The sequence below is a fragment of the Homo sapiens genome, chromosome 1, assembly GCF_000001405.40.
Source record: "Homo sapiens chromosome 1, GRCh38.p14 Primary Assembly".
Lineage (NCBI taxonomy): Eukaryota > Metazoa > Chordata > Mammalia > Primates > Hominidae > Homo > Homo sapiens.
In genome coordinates, this window is record NC_000001.11 from 60593162 (window position 1) to 60610811 (window position 17650).

Consider the following 17650-nt stretch of genomic DNA (forward strand, 5'->3'; position numbering starts at 1 on the left):
CCCTAGGACAAAAGACTATTTCTGGTTCACTGTCCCATCTTGAATGGAGGCCTTAAGGTCCCCAGTTCAAAGCGTGTATGGTTTACTGTGGATCCCCATCCACAATGGGTCTTGGACTCACATCTCATCCTCTCAGTTGTCTCTTCCTGGATTGGCAGGTGTTTCTGGGTGACAAGCTGCTATACCTGCCAGGCTCACCCCTCTGGGTTTTCTCCCTAATCTGAGCCTGTGATTCTTCAATGCAATGAGAATGTTTTTATTCCTTCAGTCAGATAAGATTGTTTAATATTTTACCCACTTAAGTGTTGATTTTCATCACTTTATTCCTGTATTATTGAAATCATCCCACCCTTATTTCTTCATAAATAAAGAAGAACCAGGCCCCACATTTGAGACCAGAGGACCAAAGCATTATGTCTGCCTCTGTTCCTTATTAGATATGTTACCTTGGGCAACTTTCTCATAGTCTCAGTTTTCTACAAAGCAAACACAAGAATTTTATTCATTGGTGTATGTACAATTCTTTGAGATGCTGCATGGAAAAGCATTGTAAACTGTAAAATATGACTTAATATCTAATTACATTAATATGTGCTCCTAAACAATGTGTGTGTGTGCTTTAATTTGTTATGATACAGTGTGCAGATTAATTTATCCTTTGTCAATATCAATTTTTTCACTCATCCGTTTATTTTATTCACATTTATTGCATGCCTGCACTGTGCTAAAACTGTTACTGGGCCTTGTTGATACAGCAATAACACAAAATAATGCCTCAATCCAACAAAATTCTGAAGGGCTTCCTCAGCCCCTCCATGACCAGCCCCCACCCCCCCAATTATACAGTCTCCTGCTACTCTTAGTCCCCTGTTATAACCTAACTTCAGGATATTCATCACAATTTTACTTCTATTTTTATTTTGTATTATTTGTTAAATGTCTGTTTCATCCACTAAACTGTAATACCCTGAGAGTCACTAACATGGCCACATTATAATCTGTAAAATATTGTTAAATGACATGAAAGAGATAAATGAATGACTAATCGTATGGAGTCTGTAATGCCTGGTAAGATTTGGTAGGAAATAAAACTAGAAAGGTAGATGGGGAACAGTTTGTGATGGGGCCCTTAATGTCCTGCTGTGTAATCAAGACTTTATCCTTTAAGCAGTGAGGAACCATGGGAAACTGAGATAATAGCATGGACAAAGGCAAGAAGACACAGACATTCAGCTCGTTAGAAACGTTGCCTCAGGTCACTGACTTAGAGAAGGGCAGATAGAAACACCGAGTCTCTTCTTACAACACATGGGCTCCTCAATCTGGTGAACCACTTTGCATCACCTGACGTTATAAGATATTCTTCTAAGAACAATAGCACTAATTGGGATCAAAACCCTGGGGTGAGGTCCATCTACTGAGCCAAAGCTGGGTGGCAGGGTGCAATAAAATTTTTATGTGTCAACGTAAACATTGTCTTTTAAAAAAATCATTGTATACATATTTACATCTACCATTATTTCATTAGACTAGATTATCGAATGAATGAGTCTCCTTGGGAATTGAAAGGGTGCATTCCACCACATCTTTATAGAATTATTATACATACTTTAATTTTGTCTTTGCTGGTTTCACATATTAAGTATCCTTATAGGAGCCTTCAGGTCCTTTGCAGCTCCTGTGACTCTAATTCAGTTCACTGAAGTATCTACCATTACTCCTTCTACCCAATGAGACCAAACAAACAGAAAAAAATTGGTTCCTTCTCCGTTTTGACAGCCCATGAGATATCTGAGGAGAGTTCTCATGTCCTGAGACTTCTTTTTACCCATAAGAGTAAATGCCTCCAACTAAGGCTATTTTTCAGAAACATACAAGTTTATAAAAAATGGCCCAAAACTTTTTGTAGAAAAATTTTAAGTTTGAACATTGGGAGTTCCAGAAAAAAAAAAAAGGCTTCTGTCCAACACTTTTCACTGCTGGCTATATCATAGTTCCTCACTGGAATAAAGAATATTCTGTTTCCTAGTGGAATGGAGAATTGAAATCAGAGCCTCTGGATAATAACAGTAACAATTACAATCATAAAGATCATAGCTTACATTTGACTGCTTGCCGTGTGCCAGGCATTTTTCAAAGAGCTTAAAGATATTCTCCCCATAATCTTCAAATAATGCCATGAAGTTTGTACAAAACTGCTCTTATACAAAGTTAAATCCACTTGTTTCAAAAATAAGGAAAGGGAGAAAGAAAAAGGATAAAGAAAACCTATATTCACTAAGTCCTAATAGGCTATGCTATGTATCCATTTTCCATTGTTGCTATAACAAATTACCATAAACTAGTGCATAAGACAACAGAAATTTATTAACTTACAGCTCCGAAGGTCATACTCCAGTATTGGTCTCACTGAGGTAAAATCAAGGTGTCAGCATGACTGCATTTTATTCCACAGGCTCTAAAGGAGAATCCATTTCTTGCTTTTTCCAGCTTCCAGAGGCCATTTGCATTCCTTGACTCGGGTTCCCCTCTCTCCATCTTTAAAGTCAGCAACAGCAGTTTTAGTCCCCTCACATTGCATCTCTGACACTTTTTCCATCATCACATGTCTCTCTGATCATGGCCAAAAAATATTCTCCATTTTTAAGGACTCATGTTACTAGATTGGACCCACTGGATAATCCAGTAAAACTTTTCCATCTTAAACTTAAACCATCCAGGAAAACTTTGCCATTTAATGTAACATATTCACAGGTTCCTAAAACATCTCTGGGGTGAACATCTCTAGGGTACCAGTATTCTGCATATGAGGACCTATATATGCAATTCCATGTATTCTCCCCAGGAAATAAATCCTCAAGATAATTATAATAGTTATTTATTGTTGTGTAATAAACTACCTCCAAAATTAAATAGCTTAAAATGACATTTGCTTTCTCACAGTTTCCTCAGAGGGTCATGAACCTGGCTGAGGCTTAGCTGTGCCCTCTGTTTCAGGTTGTCTCACATGGCTGCAACCAAGGTATCTGCTTAGGCTGCGGTCTCATCTGAAGGTTCAGCTGATGATAGATCTGCTTTCAAGCTCACTGCTTGGCTGCTGGCAAGATTCAGTGTCTTGTAGACTGTTGACTGAGGGCCTCAGTTCCTTCTAGCTTTTAGTGAGAGAGCATCCTCAGTTCCTTTCCATGCAGGTCTCCACATATGGCACATTCCTTCATCAGAGTGAGTAAGCAGAGAGAGAGAGAGAAAAGGTGTCAGGAAGGTGGTTGTCATGGTCTTTTAAAATCTAACCTCAAGAGTGCCATTCCTTCACTTTTGCCATATTCTATTAGTTAAAAGTAAGTTACTACATCAACAAGACCAGCCCACATACAAAGAAAAGAAAATACACTATGGAGTGACCATCATGAGGAAAGATCATTGGGAGCCATTTCAGAAGCAGTCTATCACAGTATTTGTATCATTTTGCTATTGCTGCATGACAAGTCACCACAAACATAGTGGCTTGAAATGAAAATTCTTCTCTCTTATTCACATCTGTGGGTCAACTGGGACACAGCCAAACAACTCTGATTCAAGTTACCGGTTCCCCTTTGCTTGAATCCTTGTTGTGGAGTGAGTGCAAGTTTGCTTCATTGAAGTTCAAGCTGGGGTGCCTGTAAAATCCTAGGGCAGTTCTTCTCACAGCAATAGCAGAAGTGCAAGAAGGAAAGAGAAACATGTGATAACTTTTAAAGCCAGGATTGAGGCCTATTGCATGGTTACTTCCCTCCTCCCTACCCCCAGGTACCCTACTGGCCAAAATAAGTCACATGCCTGAACCCAAAATAAAAGGACTAGAAAGTATATTCTGCCTCTAGTGGAAGCAACTTCACAGTCACAAGGTAAAGGTCAAGGATCCAGGAAGAGGTGAAAAATTGGGGCCAAAAATTCCATCTCTCACAATATTATCACTCACATTTTACTGATAAAGAAATTGTGGTGCAGATAAGCTACCTGACTTGCTCAAGGTCACAGAATTCAAATTCACATTTGTCTGACTTCAAAACCCGTTCTTCATTGTTTTATACCACCACGACTCAAGATACATTCTCTCTGAATCATTTCCTTCTGAATAAAGGAGTTCACAAATTGGTATCTAAAAATTCCTTTTGCAAACAGTCATCAGAAATTTCACTTTGCTCTTCTGCCTCCTGTTTCACTTTATCAGCCTAAATTTGTAACATGGGCAGGAGCGTGGAGATAAAATCGTCTCTGAAAATGAGAAAATGGATTTTCTTGCCATGCCTTTGCATTACAAATGGGCCCAGTCCACGGCAATCATGGCTGCACCTGGAACAGTGCACAGGGCCCATGAATAATCCATGTTCCTTACACACTTGTCTCCCTGCGGTGCTGACTCAGCAACTGCTCTCCTACTTTCTGCAAAGTAAAGACAGCATATAGGTCAGATGAAGTCTAAGAGTGTAACAACACTCTGAACATTTGGCTGAATCCTGAAGGCCGACAAGGGACTTAAAAATTTCATTAGAATTTAACCAGACTGTGATTCTTCGCTTCTCAGAATTTCATTTCTTCAGGGTTAAATCCAGATTTCATTATCTTCAGGGTTAAATCCAGACTTCTTTATATGGCACACAGGAGCCATCATGATTTGACCATTACTTACCTGACCAGAACTTTATCCCCGCCACCCATCCCCTGCCCTTCAGCTTGACCCCTTTTTCCACCTCCCTCATCTTCAACCCCAGCTATACAAAACTATTTGTATTCCCCAAAAAGAAAACACATTTATCTGCAATCATTGGCATTTGTTGGTCCTTTTTCCTAGAAAGCTCTTCCTCCCCTTGGTCACTAATCTAAATTAAGTTTCTTCTTTCAGAAGTAGCTCAGGGGCTCCTTTGCACAGAAACCTATTCCTAACCTCACCCTTACCCTAACACCCAGCTCACTTGGGGTTAGGAGTTTTTTGTTTAGGAAACAGTTTGTGCTTCGACTATAGCCCTTCTCAACCTATATTAGAATCACCTATTTATTTTTCAATCTCACAAACACTGAGCTCTTTGAAACTAACAATATTTTGGCTCTGAATGCATATTGTTCTTGGCATGGTGCTCAGTAGTCATTACATGATTGCAAAAAAATAAAAGGAATGGGAAGGGAAAAGAAGGGAAGGAAAGGGAAGACAAGGGGAGAGGATCACAGGGAAGGGAAGAGAAAAGAAGGGAAGAGGAGGAGAAGGGAGGAAAGGGGATGGGAGGGAAGGGGAGGAAAGGGAAGGGAATGGGAGGAAAAGGGAGGGGAGGGGAGGGGGAAAAGGAAAGGGAAGGGAAGGGAAAAGAAGGAAAGGGGAGGGGAGAGAAGAGGACAGGGGCGGGGGGAGAAGGGAGGGAAGGGAAGGGAAGGGAAAAGAAGGAAAGGGGAGGGAAAAGAAGGAAAGGGGAGGAGAGAGAAGAGGACGGGAGGGAAGGGGGAGAAGGGAGGGAAGGGAAAGGAAAAAAGGGAAGGGGAGGGGAGAAGAGGGGAGGGAAAGGAAGGAAGGAGAAAGAGAGGAAGAATAGAAAAGAAGTAGGGAGAGAGGGAGGTAAGAACGGAAAGAGGTAAGAAAAAGAGGGAAGAGAGGAGGGAAGGAGAGAAGGAAAGAGGGAAGAAAGAAAAATCAAGATCATGTTTGAGAAAGTATTTTGTAAATTTCACATGGCTTCATACAATCAGGAGCCCTATTCATTTCACCTGGAATAAGCTAACGTACAAGGCTAGCTACTCTTAGGGAAAGCCCGTTTTTCCTTAAATCCTTTGACTCCAGCAGATCAGACCCACCTACATCCTCTGTAAACTTAAGTGAATGAACTTTGTAAAGAGTGTTGCCTCTTAGCCAGCTTCTCCATGTACTCCAGTGTAATCAATAACCAATCCAGAGAGCAAATTAATGTTAAATACAGCTTGAAGAATGGTGGAAAAAAAAAACAGTAGGGGAGCATTAGCAGAGAGCCTTCCCAGAATTGTAGTCTCAGGGACTGTAGGTTGGTTCAGAGATTATCATAATCTGCAAGATAGGAGGGCCCTCCAGAAATAGAGTTATCATTCCTGCTATAAAAATTGTGCCCCTGAATTAACACAAACAAGAATTTCCAGATGACAGTTCCAAATGCCAATTGCTGCTATTTTCACTTCAACATCATAATTGACTGAGTGTGATTGCTTGGTGGTTTTGAAGCTGTCTTTGCACCCTAATAATTGCACTTTCCAAATTCCATCTGAGGCATTACCATACCTGATAAGGCTCTTAACTGATGTTTTAATATAATGGCTTGGAACATACATCTTTGGAAAGAATAGTTCATATAGAAGATAGATCAAATATGTTCTAGGATTATTCTTTACAGTCACTATAATAAGTGTTTCTTCTACTTTCCCTCCCACCACACACCCCCATAAAGTCAACAACTTTATGGCATTAGGCTTCAAAGAGTTGCTAAAACTCTGGAAGCTTTGCTCTTCTGAGAAAAAAAATCTTATTTCATTTTTTTCCCTGTAAAATCGCCATAATATTTAGGTGGGGAGGAGATATGCAGCTGTTATGATTTAGAGTTGCTGAGCTTCTGACCCTTGTCCTGGCTAAAACAGTGTTTGGATTTGAGTAGAAATAGCAATGAACCTAGAGCAACTTATTAGCTGAAACTCTGAGTCTCAAAATTTTTTCATTTATAAATAGCCCAGTGAAAATAACTTACATTTCACTGGCCTATTGTGAGAATCTAATGAAATCTGATGGATAAAAAGCAAGGCAAAAACTAAACTATTCTGTATTGTTGGGGAATTATGAATTAATATTATTGTTATGGCCTAAAATTAGTTGAATAGAGCCAGAAAACAGAGTAGATGTGGTGCATTAATCTACTTGAGCTACCATAACAAAATACCACACGCTGAGTGGCTTAAATAATAAAAATTTATTTTCTCACCATTCTGGAGGCTGGATGTCCTAGATCAAAGTCCAGCAGAACTCAGTTTCTGGTAGACGCACTCGTCCTGGCTTGCAGACATCCCCTTTGTCTTCACATAGCGTATTAGTCCATTCTTGCAGTGCTATAAAGAAGTACCTCAGACTGGGTAATTTATAAAGAAAAGAGGCTTAATTGGCTCATGGTTCTGCAGACTGTACAGGAAGCATGATGATGGAATCTGCTCAGCTTCCAGGGAGGCCACAGGAAACTTAACAGTCATGCCAGAAGGTGAAGAGGGAATAGGCATGTCACATGGCCAGAGCAGGAGCAAGAGAACGTGAAGGGGGAAGTGCTACACACTTTTAAATGACCAAATATCATGAGAGCTCACTATTGTGAAGACAGTACCAAGGGGGATGGTGCTAAACCATTCATGAGAAACTTGCCTCCACTGGGTGGGGGGACCCAATCTCCCCCCACCATGCCTCCCCTCCAATACTGAAGATTACATTTTGACATGACATTTGGTTGGAGGCAACATCCAAACTGTATCACATGGCCTTCTTTCTGAATGCACACAGACAGAGACACGTTCCAGTATCTCTTCCTCTTCTGAAAAGTGCAACAGCTCTATCAGATTAGGGCTCCACCCTTATGACCTCATTTAAACTCTACCATCTGCTTATGACCCTATCTCCAAATACATTCACATTGGTTGTTAGGGTTTCACATATGATTCTGGGGGTGGGAGAAGGTACAAACATTTAGTCCTTAATACATGGGTTATCAAAAGGACTCCTTTTCAAATGTTATCTTTTTTATCATTAACAGAAATCACATGCCACTTCAGATTAAAATTATTATATTTTGGGCTGGTTTAAAATGTTAGCTTTTGGGGAATGAAAGACACTGGGGTCTACTTGAGGGTGGAGGGTGGGAGGAAGAAGAGAAGCACAAATAATAATTATTGGGTACTGGGCTTTTTGCATGGGTGATGAAATCAGCTGTACAACAAACCCCTGTGACACAAGTTCACCTATGTAACAAACCTTCACATGTACCCCCGAACCTAACATAAACCTTTAAAAAAATGAAATGAAATATCAGCTTTTTAGCCAACAAACATATGAAAAAATGCTCAGCATCACTAATCATTAGGGAAATCCAAATCAAAACCACAGTGGAATACCATCTCTCACCAGTCTGAATAGCTATTATTAAAAAGTCAAAAATAAAAGCTGTTGGTGAGGATGCAAAGTAAAGGGAATGCTTATACACTGTTGGTGGGTATGTAAATTAGTTCAGCCACTTTGGAAATTTCTCAAAGAACTATAAATAAAACTATCATTCAACCCAGCAATCATATTATTGGGTATATATCCTACAGAAAATAAATCATTCTGCCAAAAAGACACATGCACTCATATGTTGTTCACCGCAGCACAGCACTATTCACAACAAGAAAAATATGGAATCAACCTAGATGCCCATCAATGATGGATTAGATTAAGTAAATTTTGTACATGTACACCATGGAATACTATTCAGCCATAAAAAGAATGAAATCATGTACTTTACAGCAATATGGATGCAGCTGTAGTTATCCTAAATGAACTAACACAAAAGCAGAAAATCAAATACCACATCTTCTGACGTATAAGTGGAAACTAAACAATGGGTACATACAGACATAAAGATGGAGACAATAGACACTGGGGACCCCAAAAGGGGAGAAGAAGGGAGAATAGAAATGGTTGAAAAGCTATTTATTGTGTACTGTGTTTACTATTTGGTTGGTGGGTTCCATAGAAGCCCAAATCCCAGCATGATGCAATATATTTATGTAACAAACCTGCACATGTACCATCTGAATCTAAAATTTAAAAAAATTTTTTTGAAAAAATAAAAAATAAAATGTCAGCTTTTCAAAGAAGTCTCCTCTGCTGCCCGCTCAGGACTAATCCCTACCCCCTCCTTGCACCTACTGGAACCCTTCTCTCCAGTAGTACTTAATTCATTATCATATGTCTGTCTGTCTTAGGAAGAATGAAGATTTCTCTGAGTCAAAAGACATGTTTTTCTCTCAATTTTATATAACCATATTATTGAGGATTCTCAATATGATGTGGTAAAAACACGAATATATTTTCTTTTTTTGCCGTTAACACCTTTAGCCACATTCTGACAAATCATCCTTTCCAATTTCTTTGCAATATCTTAGGTAGATTTTATCATTTCTAGTCATTTTTCATTACTAAATGTACAACTTAAACTTTAATCTCAAAATTGATTGCAAACTCATCCATTCCCTCTTTTCCCAGCAGAAGTCTTGTGCTGTGATGCTGGCTTATCAGAAAAAAGGATCAGAGATGAGGCTGCATAGACTTAGCTATGAGATTTGTGCAGGCCAACCACATGAATTCACACAGGATATGCAATGCTCAACCCTAGGGAGCAAGATTCATATGGTATACCATGTTAACCACTCTCCCTATAGTTGTCCAGTGCACAATTTCCACAACCATATAAGAAAGCTCTGAATTACATATGCAAATCTTATATGCATAACTGTATAAGAAAGCCCTGTAGTCTTACATTTGCTCTTCCAAGTATAATTATTCCAGAGTTTAATAAAGATCCAAAAACAGTAGAGGAAATCAAAGTCTTCTTGTATAAATGGTTACCTTATAGAAAAGGGAAGCCATCTTTGATCTTATCTATGCTATAGACTGAATGTTTTTGTTCCCCCAAAGTTCTTAAATTAAAATTTAATCACCATCATGATGGTACTAGAAATGAGAGCTTTAGGAGGGCTCTGCCCTCATAAATAGGATGAGTGCTCTAATAAAAGCGACCCGAGGGAGCTCCCTGGGACCCTCAGCTATGTTGAGGACAAAGCAAGAATATGGCTGTCTGTGAACCAGGTAGCAGGCCCTCATCAGACACCAAATCTGCTGGTGCTTTAACCTAGGACATCCCAGCCTCCAGAAATGTGAGAAATTTATCTGTTGTTTATAAGCCACCCCATCTATGGTAGTTTGTTACGGCAGCCCAAATGGATTAATACACCCTGATTTTGTCTGTTTATCTTCTCCTGGTGATGTCTACAAATAATTACAACAATTACAAGTATAATTATAATAATGTATTAGATAATGTTTCTGGAAAACTCATCACCATATTTCATAAATTCTAATATATGTTCTTTCAGGCATCAACATTTCTGAAATAACGATGTGGTTTTCAATAAATGATATATCATGGTTTTATTGTAAGCATTTTTCCCTCTCTTAGTGGTACATAAACCCCATTGTCAATATTAGATGGATCAATGAGACAGAAAATTAACAAGGATATTCAGGAATTCAACTCAGCTCTGGACCAAGCAGACCTAAGAGACATCTACAGAACTCTTCATTTCAAATCAACAGAATATACATTCTTCTCAGCACCACATTGCACTTATTCTAAAATTGACCACATAATTGGAAGTAAAACACTCCTCAGCAAATGCAAAAGAACAGAAATCATAACAAACAGTCTCTCAGACCACAGTGCAATAAAATTAGAACTCAGGATTAAGAAACTCACTCAAAACAGCACAACTACATGGAAACTGAACAACCTGCTCCTGAATGACTACTGGGTAAATAACGCAATTTAGGCAGAAATAAACAAGTTACTTGAAACCAATGAGAACAAAGACACAAGGTACCAGAATCTCGGAAACACAGCTAAAGCAGTGTTTGGAGGGAAATTTATAGCACTAAATGCCCACAGGAGAAAGAGGAAAGTTCTAAAATCGACACATTAACATCACAATGAAAAGAACTAGAGAAGCAAGAGCAAACAAATTCAAAAGCTAACAGAAGACAACAAATAACTAAGATCAGAGCAGAACTGAAAGAGATAGAAACATGAAAAACCTTTCAAAAAAATCAATGGGCCGGGCGCGGTGGCTCACGCCTGTAATCCCAGCACTTTGGGAGGCCGAGGCGGGCGGATCACGAGGTCAGGAGATCGAGACCATCCCGGCTAAAACGGTGAAACCCCGTCTCTACTAAAAATACAAAAAATTAGCCGGGCGTAGTGGCGGGCGCCTGTAGTCCCAGCTACTTGGGAGGCTGAGGCAGGAGAATGGCGTGAACCCGGGAGGCGGAGCTTGCAGTGAGCCGAGATTGCGCCACTGCACTCCAGCCTGGGCGACAGAGCGAGACTCCGTCTCAAAAAAAAAAAAAAAAAAAAAAAATCAATGAATCCAGGAGCTGTTTGTTTGAAAATATCAACGAAATAGATAGACCTCTAGCCAGACTAATAAAGAAGACAAGAGAGAAGAATCAAATAGACACAATAAAAAATGATAAAGGGGATATTGCCACTGATCCCACAGAAATACAAGCTACCATTAGAGAATACTATAAACACCTCTATGCAAATAAACTAGAAAATCTAGAAGAAATGGATAAATTCCTGAACACATACACCCTCCCAAGACTAAACCAGGAAGAAGTCAAATCCCTGAATAGACCAATAACAAGTTCTAAAATTGAGGCAGTAATTAATAGCCTACCAACCAAAAAAAGTCTAGGACCAGACAGAGTCACAGCAGAATTCTACCAGAGGTAGAAAGAGCAGCCGGTACCATTTCTTCTGAAACTATTTCAAACAATAGAAAAACTCATTTTATGAGGCATGCATCATCCTGATACCAAAACCTGAGAGAGACACAACAAAAAAAGAAAATTTCAGGCCAATATCCCTGATGAACATCAATACAAAAATTCTCAATAAAATACTGGCAACCCAAATCTAGCAGCACATCAAAAAGCTTATCCACCACGATCAAGTTGGCTTTGTCCCTGGGATGCAAGGCTGGTTCAACATACGCAAATCAATAAATGTAATCCATCACATAAACAGAACCAATGACAAAAGCCACATGATTATCTCAATAGATGCAGAAAAGGCCTTTGATAAAATTCAACACCCCTTCATGCTAAAAACTTTCAATAAACTAGGTATTGATGGAACATATCTCAAAATAACAAGAGCTATTTATGACAAACCCATAGCCAATATCATACTGAATGGGCAAAAGCTGGAAGCATTCCCTTTGAAAACCAGCCCAAGACAGGGATGCCCTCTCTCACCACTCCTATTCAACATAGTATTGGAAGTTCTGGCCAGGACAATTAGGCAAGAGAAAGAAATAAAGGGTATTCAAATAGGAAGAGAGGAAGTAAAATTGTCTCTGTTTGCAGATGACATGATTGTATATTTAGAAAACCCCATCATCTCAGCCCAAAATCTCCTTAAGCTGATAGGCAACTTCAGCAAAATCTTAGGATACAAAATCAATGTGCAAAAATCACAAGAATTCAAATACACCAATAATAGACAGAGAGCCAAATCATGAGTGAATTCCCATTCACAATTGCTATAAAAAGAATAAAATACCTAGGAATACAACTTACAAGGGATGTGAAGGACCTCTTCAAGGAGGACTACAAACCACTGCTTAAGAAAATAAGAGAGGACACAAACAAATGGCAAAACATTCCATGCTCATGGATAGGAAGAATCAATATCATGAAAATGGCCATACTGCCCAAAGTAATTTATAGATTCAATGCTATCCGAATCAAGCTACCACTGACTTTCTTCAGAGTTAGAAAAAACTACTTTAAATTTCATATGGAACCAAAAAAGAGCCCATATAGCCAAGACAATCCTAAGCAAAAACAACAAAGCTGGAGGCATCACACTACCTGACTTCAAACTGTACTACAAGGCTACAGTAACCAAAACAGCATGGTACTGGTACCAAAACAGATACATAGACCAATGGAACCGAACAGAGGTCTCAGAAATAATGCCGCACATTTACCACCACCTGATCTTTGAAAAACTTGACAAAAACAAGCAATGGGGAAAGGATTCCCTATTTAATAAATGGTGTTGGAAAAACTGGCAGAAGGTTTCAAACTTCAAAAGCTAGCAGAAGACAAGAAATAACTAAGATCAGAGCAGAACTGAAGGACATAGAGACATGAAAAACCTTTCAAAAAAATCAATGAATCCAGGAGCTGGTTGTTTGAAAAGATCAACAAAATAGACCTCTAGCCAGACTAATAAAGAAAACTGAAACTGGACCCCTTCCTTACCCCTTATACAAAAATTAACTCATGATGGATTAAATAATTTAAACATAAGACCTAAAACCATAAAAACCCTAGAAGAAACCTAAGCAATACCATTCAGAGCATAGGCATGGGCAAAGACCTCATGACTAAAACACCAAAAGCAACGGCAACAAAAGCCAAAATTGACAGATGGGATCTGATTAAAGGAAAGAGCTTCTGCACAGCAAAAGAAACCATCATCAGAGTGAACAGGGAACCTACAGAATGGGTGAAAATTTTTGCAATCTATCCATCTGACAAAGGGCTAATATCCAGAATCTACAAAGAACTTAAACAAATTTACTAGAAAAAAACAAACAACCCCATCAAAAAGTGGGCAAAGAATATGAACAGACACTTCTCAAAACAAGACATTTATGCAGCCAGCAAACATGAAAAAAAGCTCATCATCACTGGTCATTAGAGAAATGCAAATCAAAACCACGATGAGATACCATCTCACACAGTTAGAATGGTGATCATTAAAAAGTCAGGAAACAACAGATGCTGGAAAGGATGTGGAGAAATAGGAACGCTTTTACACTGTTGATGGGAGTGTAAATTAGTTCAATCATTGCGGAAGACAGTGTGGTAATTCCTCAAGGATCTAGAACAAGAAATACCATTTGACCCAGCAATCCCATTACTGGATACATACCCAAAGGATTATAAATCATTCTACTATATAGACACTTCACACACATAAGTTTATTGCAGCACTGTTCACAATAGCAAAGACTTGAAACCAATCAAAATACCAATCAACAATGATAGACTGGATAAAGAAAATGTGACACATATACACCATGGAATACTACGCAGCCATAAAAAAGGATGGGTTCATGTCCCTTGCAGGAACATGGATGAAGCTGGAAACCATCATTCTCAGCAAACTAACACAAGAACAGAAAACCAAACACCACATGTTCTCATCATAAGTGGGAGTTGAACAATGAGAACACATGGACACAGGGAGGGGAACATCACACACTGGGGCCTGTCAGGGATTGGGGAGCTAGTGGGGGATAGCATTCGGAGAAATACCTAATGTAGATGATGGGTTGATGGGTGCAGCAAACCACCATGGCACGTGTATACCTATGTAACAAATCTGCACGTTCTGCACATGTATCCCAGAACTTAAAGTATAATAAAAAGAAAAAAAAACATGGGGGGAACTGCAATCTTTGTCCTCAGTGCAGACTCTATTCATAATTCTGGCACATAATTTGTGCTTCAAGTTAATGAGCAACTTGCCAGTATTTGAATGGTTTCAAGGTTTTCAACAGAAATTTAGGATCCTATATGATGTTGCTCCTACCTAACTGGAAAACCCTGCCTTCCTGCACATTTCCCAGTATATCTTGTCTCGGGGTCTTTGTTCATGCTATTCCTGTGTCTGGAATTCACTTTCCAAGCAATCCCTTTCTCCATATCTTAGCTAACGCCTCAGATCCCCAACAGGATTAACTCTCCCTGCTCAGAGCAACAACATTCAGTAACCAATCAATACTCTGTCACATTAGGTTTTTGTCAATCTGAAATATTGTGTAGCGGAGTCAAACCTCCCTTTTAAAGAACCTGCTGTGGGGAGTGTAGTTGACTGGCAGCCTACTGTTGCCACACTTTGGAATTTGATGTGATATTGATTTGGCTGTGATGCCATACTTCCTCTAAGCTGCTCTTAGCCACTGACTGAGCATGGTAGGAGAGATATGAGATTCAGGTCTTTAATGCTCCCAAACAGGACTTTTCTAATGGGCAACTTTTGCGTGGCAACTCCCAATCAGCCTAGCGAAATCCCACTCAAAGATGTGCCCTGTCTGAGGCTCTTCCTGCCTGAGGCTCTTCCTGCCCAATCTTTCTTCCTCTCCCTTCATAGTTGTTGTATCTGACTCACAGTCTGAATGTTTCTCCTGCCTTTTGCTTCCTCCCTTTTTACCTTTCGTTAGCATTTCCCGCAATAAATCTCTTGCACATCTAATTGTCTGATTCTCAGAGGACCCACACTGACTGCCTGGCAGAGTAGGAAGTGTTCAACAATCTGAAGATTGCATAGAGTTTTGTCTATAAAATACAATTAACTCCTGAGAAGAATAAGATGTATATCTGTTTTCAAATTTGACATTGATAACCACTCACTACCTTCTTCTTGAAGTCCCTCCCTCAACTTCTGAAACAACTGGGATCTGTAGAGAATTACGAGTAAGATTTCAGGGACTTCATGGACCTTCTGAAACTTACCCATTAAGAGCCTCTGGTCTGCAAGACAAGGTCAAAATTCTTAATGTGGCTTTTCAAACACCCAGTAAGCAGCCCCAGCCTACCTCTAGCCATACTGAAGTGCTTGGGTTTCCTGGGGATGCCAGGCTCTTTCTCATCCTCCTGCCTCTGCACTTGCTGTTCCCTAACCTGAAATTCCAACTTGTCTCCTTGCCCTTTTCCCTAACTCACACTGGCTATTGACCTGGAAAATCCCTACTCCTCTTCCAAGAGTCAGCTAAAACAACAGCACCACTTCAAAATCTTTTCCATGTCCCCAGCACAAGCACAAAACTTCTTTGTGCCACCTGCCCCCTTACTCTGTCCACAGCTCTGTGATAAATTTAAATGTATTTTTCTTATGTGGCTTCCAAAACAGTGGTCTCCTTGAAGGCAGGAGCTGTTGTACTTTTCTTGGCTTCCCAGCACCTAGTACAGGGCCTGTCCCACAGTGGACACTCAATAAGAGTGTTGTTCTTGCTGTTGTTGCTGTTGTTGTTACTTTCAATCTATGAATACCCACACTGAATGCTGCACCCAACCAGCTGTGTGACCTTATGGGCTCACAAAACAACTCTGAGCCTCAGTGTTTTCTTCCGTAAAGAAGGGATAATAATAATGATGACTTCTGGGAAGTGCTATCACAAAGATCATGAATACAAACACAATGGAGGCATTTCAGTCCTTGCTTACTGGCCCTTTCCAGTTCAGCACTGTTGATGATGCCCTCCTTCTGAACACTCTCTGTTCTCTATTCCTTTTGTATTTCTCTTACTTTATTTCATTATAGTCACCAAGTCACCCAAGTCAAAACCTGGGTGTGATCTTTGAGTCCGCCCTCCCCCTCATTCACTAGTTTCAATCAATTACCTATCAAGTCCTGTACCTTTTGCCATCTGAATAGTTCCTCTACTTTCCCACTGACTGTGGACTAGTTTAGGTCACCATCACCCCCTGGGGCTATTACAATATTATATCAACAAATAACTAGTCTCTCTGCATCTGACCCTCATGCCCTCCAATCCATTCTCTACACCAATGGCATAAATCTGACCATGTCACTCTGCCACTGAGAATACTTCATGACTTCCTGATGCCTAATAATGCATAACTTTTAATGAATGCTTGCTTGCTCCATGGCTAGCAATAAAAAAGTTGGGTAGGCATCATTATTATTCTATGATGTGAATGAGGAATTTGAAGCACAGGAAGGATAACAATGAGCAACTTGCCAATGTTTGAATGGTTTCAAGGTTCTCAATAGAAATTTAGGATCCTATATGACGTTGCTCCTACTTAACTGGAAAACCCTGCCTTCCTGCACATTTCTCAGTATATCTTGCCTCGGGGTCTTTGTTCATGCTATTCCTGTGCCTGGAATTCACTTTCCAAGCAATCCCTTTCTCCATATCTTAGCTAATGCCTCAGATCCCCAACATGATTAAATCTTCCTGCTCAGAGAAACAACATTCACATTACATATATTTGTCACGTATTTACCATGATACATAGAGATATAGATACAGATACAAATGTAAAGTTATGCACCTCTCTCTCCTGGCATAGACAGACTGATAATTATGGATGATAATAGCAGTACTTATAATGCTAACTGCCAATAACGATATATTAAAGAACTAAATGACACAACCTAGAAATGTGCATAAATTAACTCCCAAGAAGGTGAACTTTAACCAGTGAGATAAAGAAAGGAACCAAGCAAGTAAAATGTCTCTCCTTCTGTCCTCTCTGGGAGTGCTCTGAAATCTGGGCTCTTTGTACATCCTGCTGAGAAATGTTTCATGGGGCCAAGTGGACCCAACTGCTGAGAGATCTGAGGTCAATATTTATGGTGTTTGTGAAGCAACCGATGATGAGTAACACATCACCTTGCCTTGCTTCCCAACTTCCAGAATATGGAATATGTACTGAATCAAAAAAAACTATACATGGCACTGAATCTACAATAGCTACAGTGTATGGGTCAGGTATCAAGGGGTGAAAGTAAGTATGCCCACTCTCACATCCAGGGACCTACTTGCAAGATTGTGCTTCCTTCTCCCACAACTTTGTTCTTGAGTATAGGGTACACATCCACCAGAGAATTAAATAATGGTTCCACTAAACTGGAAACACTGTAATTATGACGTGCCTACTTTAAGCACATCTTTTCAGTGGAACTGTAGACAAAGAAAGACGTTACTATGTCATAAACGCAGCAGGGAAGAGTATATGTGGAACTCAGGCAATTCACTGAAG

At 39.7% G+C, this 17650-nt stretch overlaps 1 long non-coding RNA gene across 1 annotated transcript in view; it reads right to left on the minus strand.

The window, feature by feature from the left end:
- Nucleotides 1-17650, minus strand: part of LINC01748 (long intergenic non-protein coding RNA 1748) — a 106970-nt gene that overhangs the window by 77446 nt on the left and 11874 nt on the right. Inside the window, exons 2-3 of the long non-coding RNA NR_146508.1 lie at nt 6966-7089; nt 2377-3212 (exon numbers count right to left, since the gene is read on the minus strand). This is a non-coding gene — a long non-coding RNA (long intergenic non-protein coding RNA 1748). The remainder of the gene's footprint in view (nt 1-2376; nt 3213-6965; nt 7090-17650) is intronic.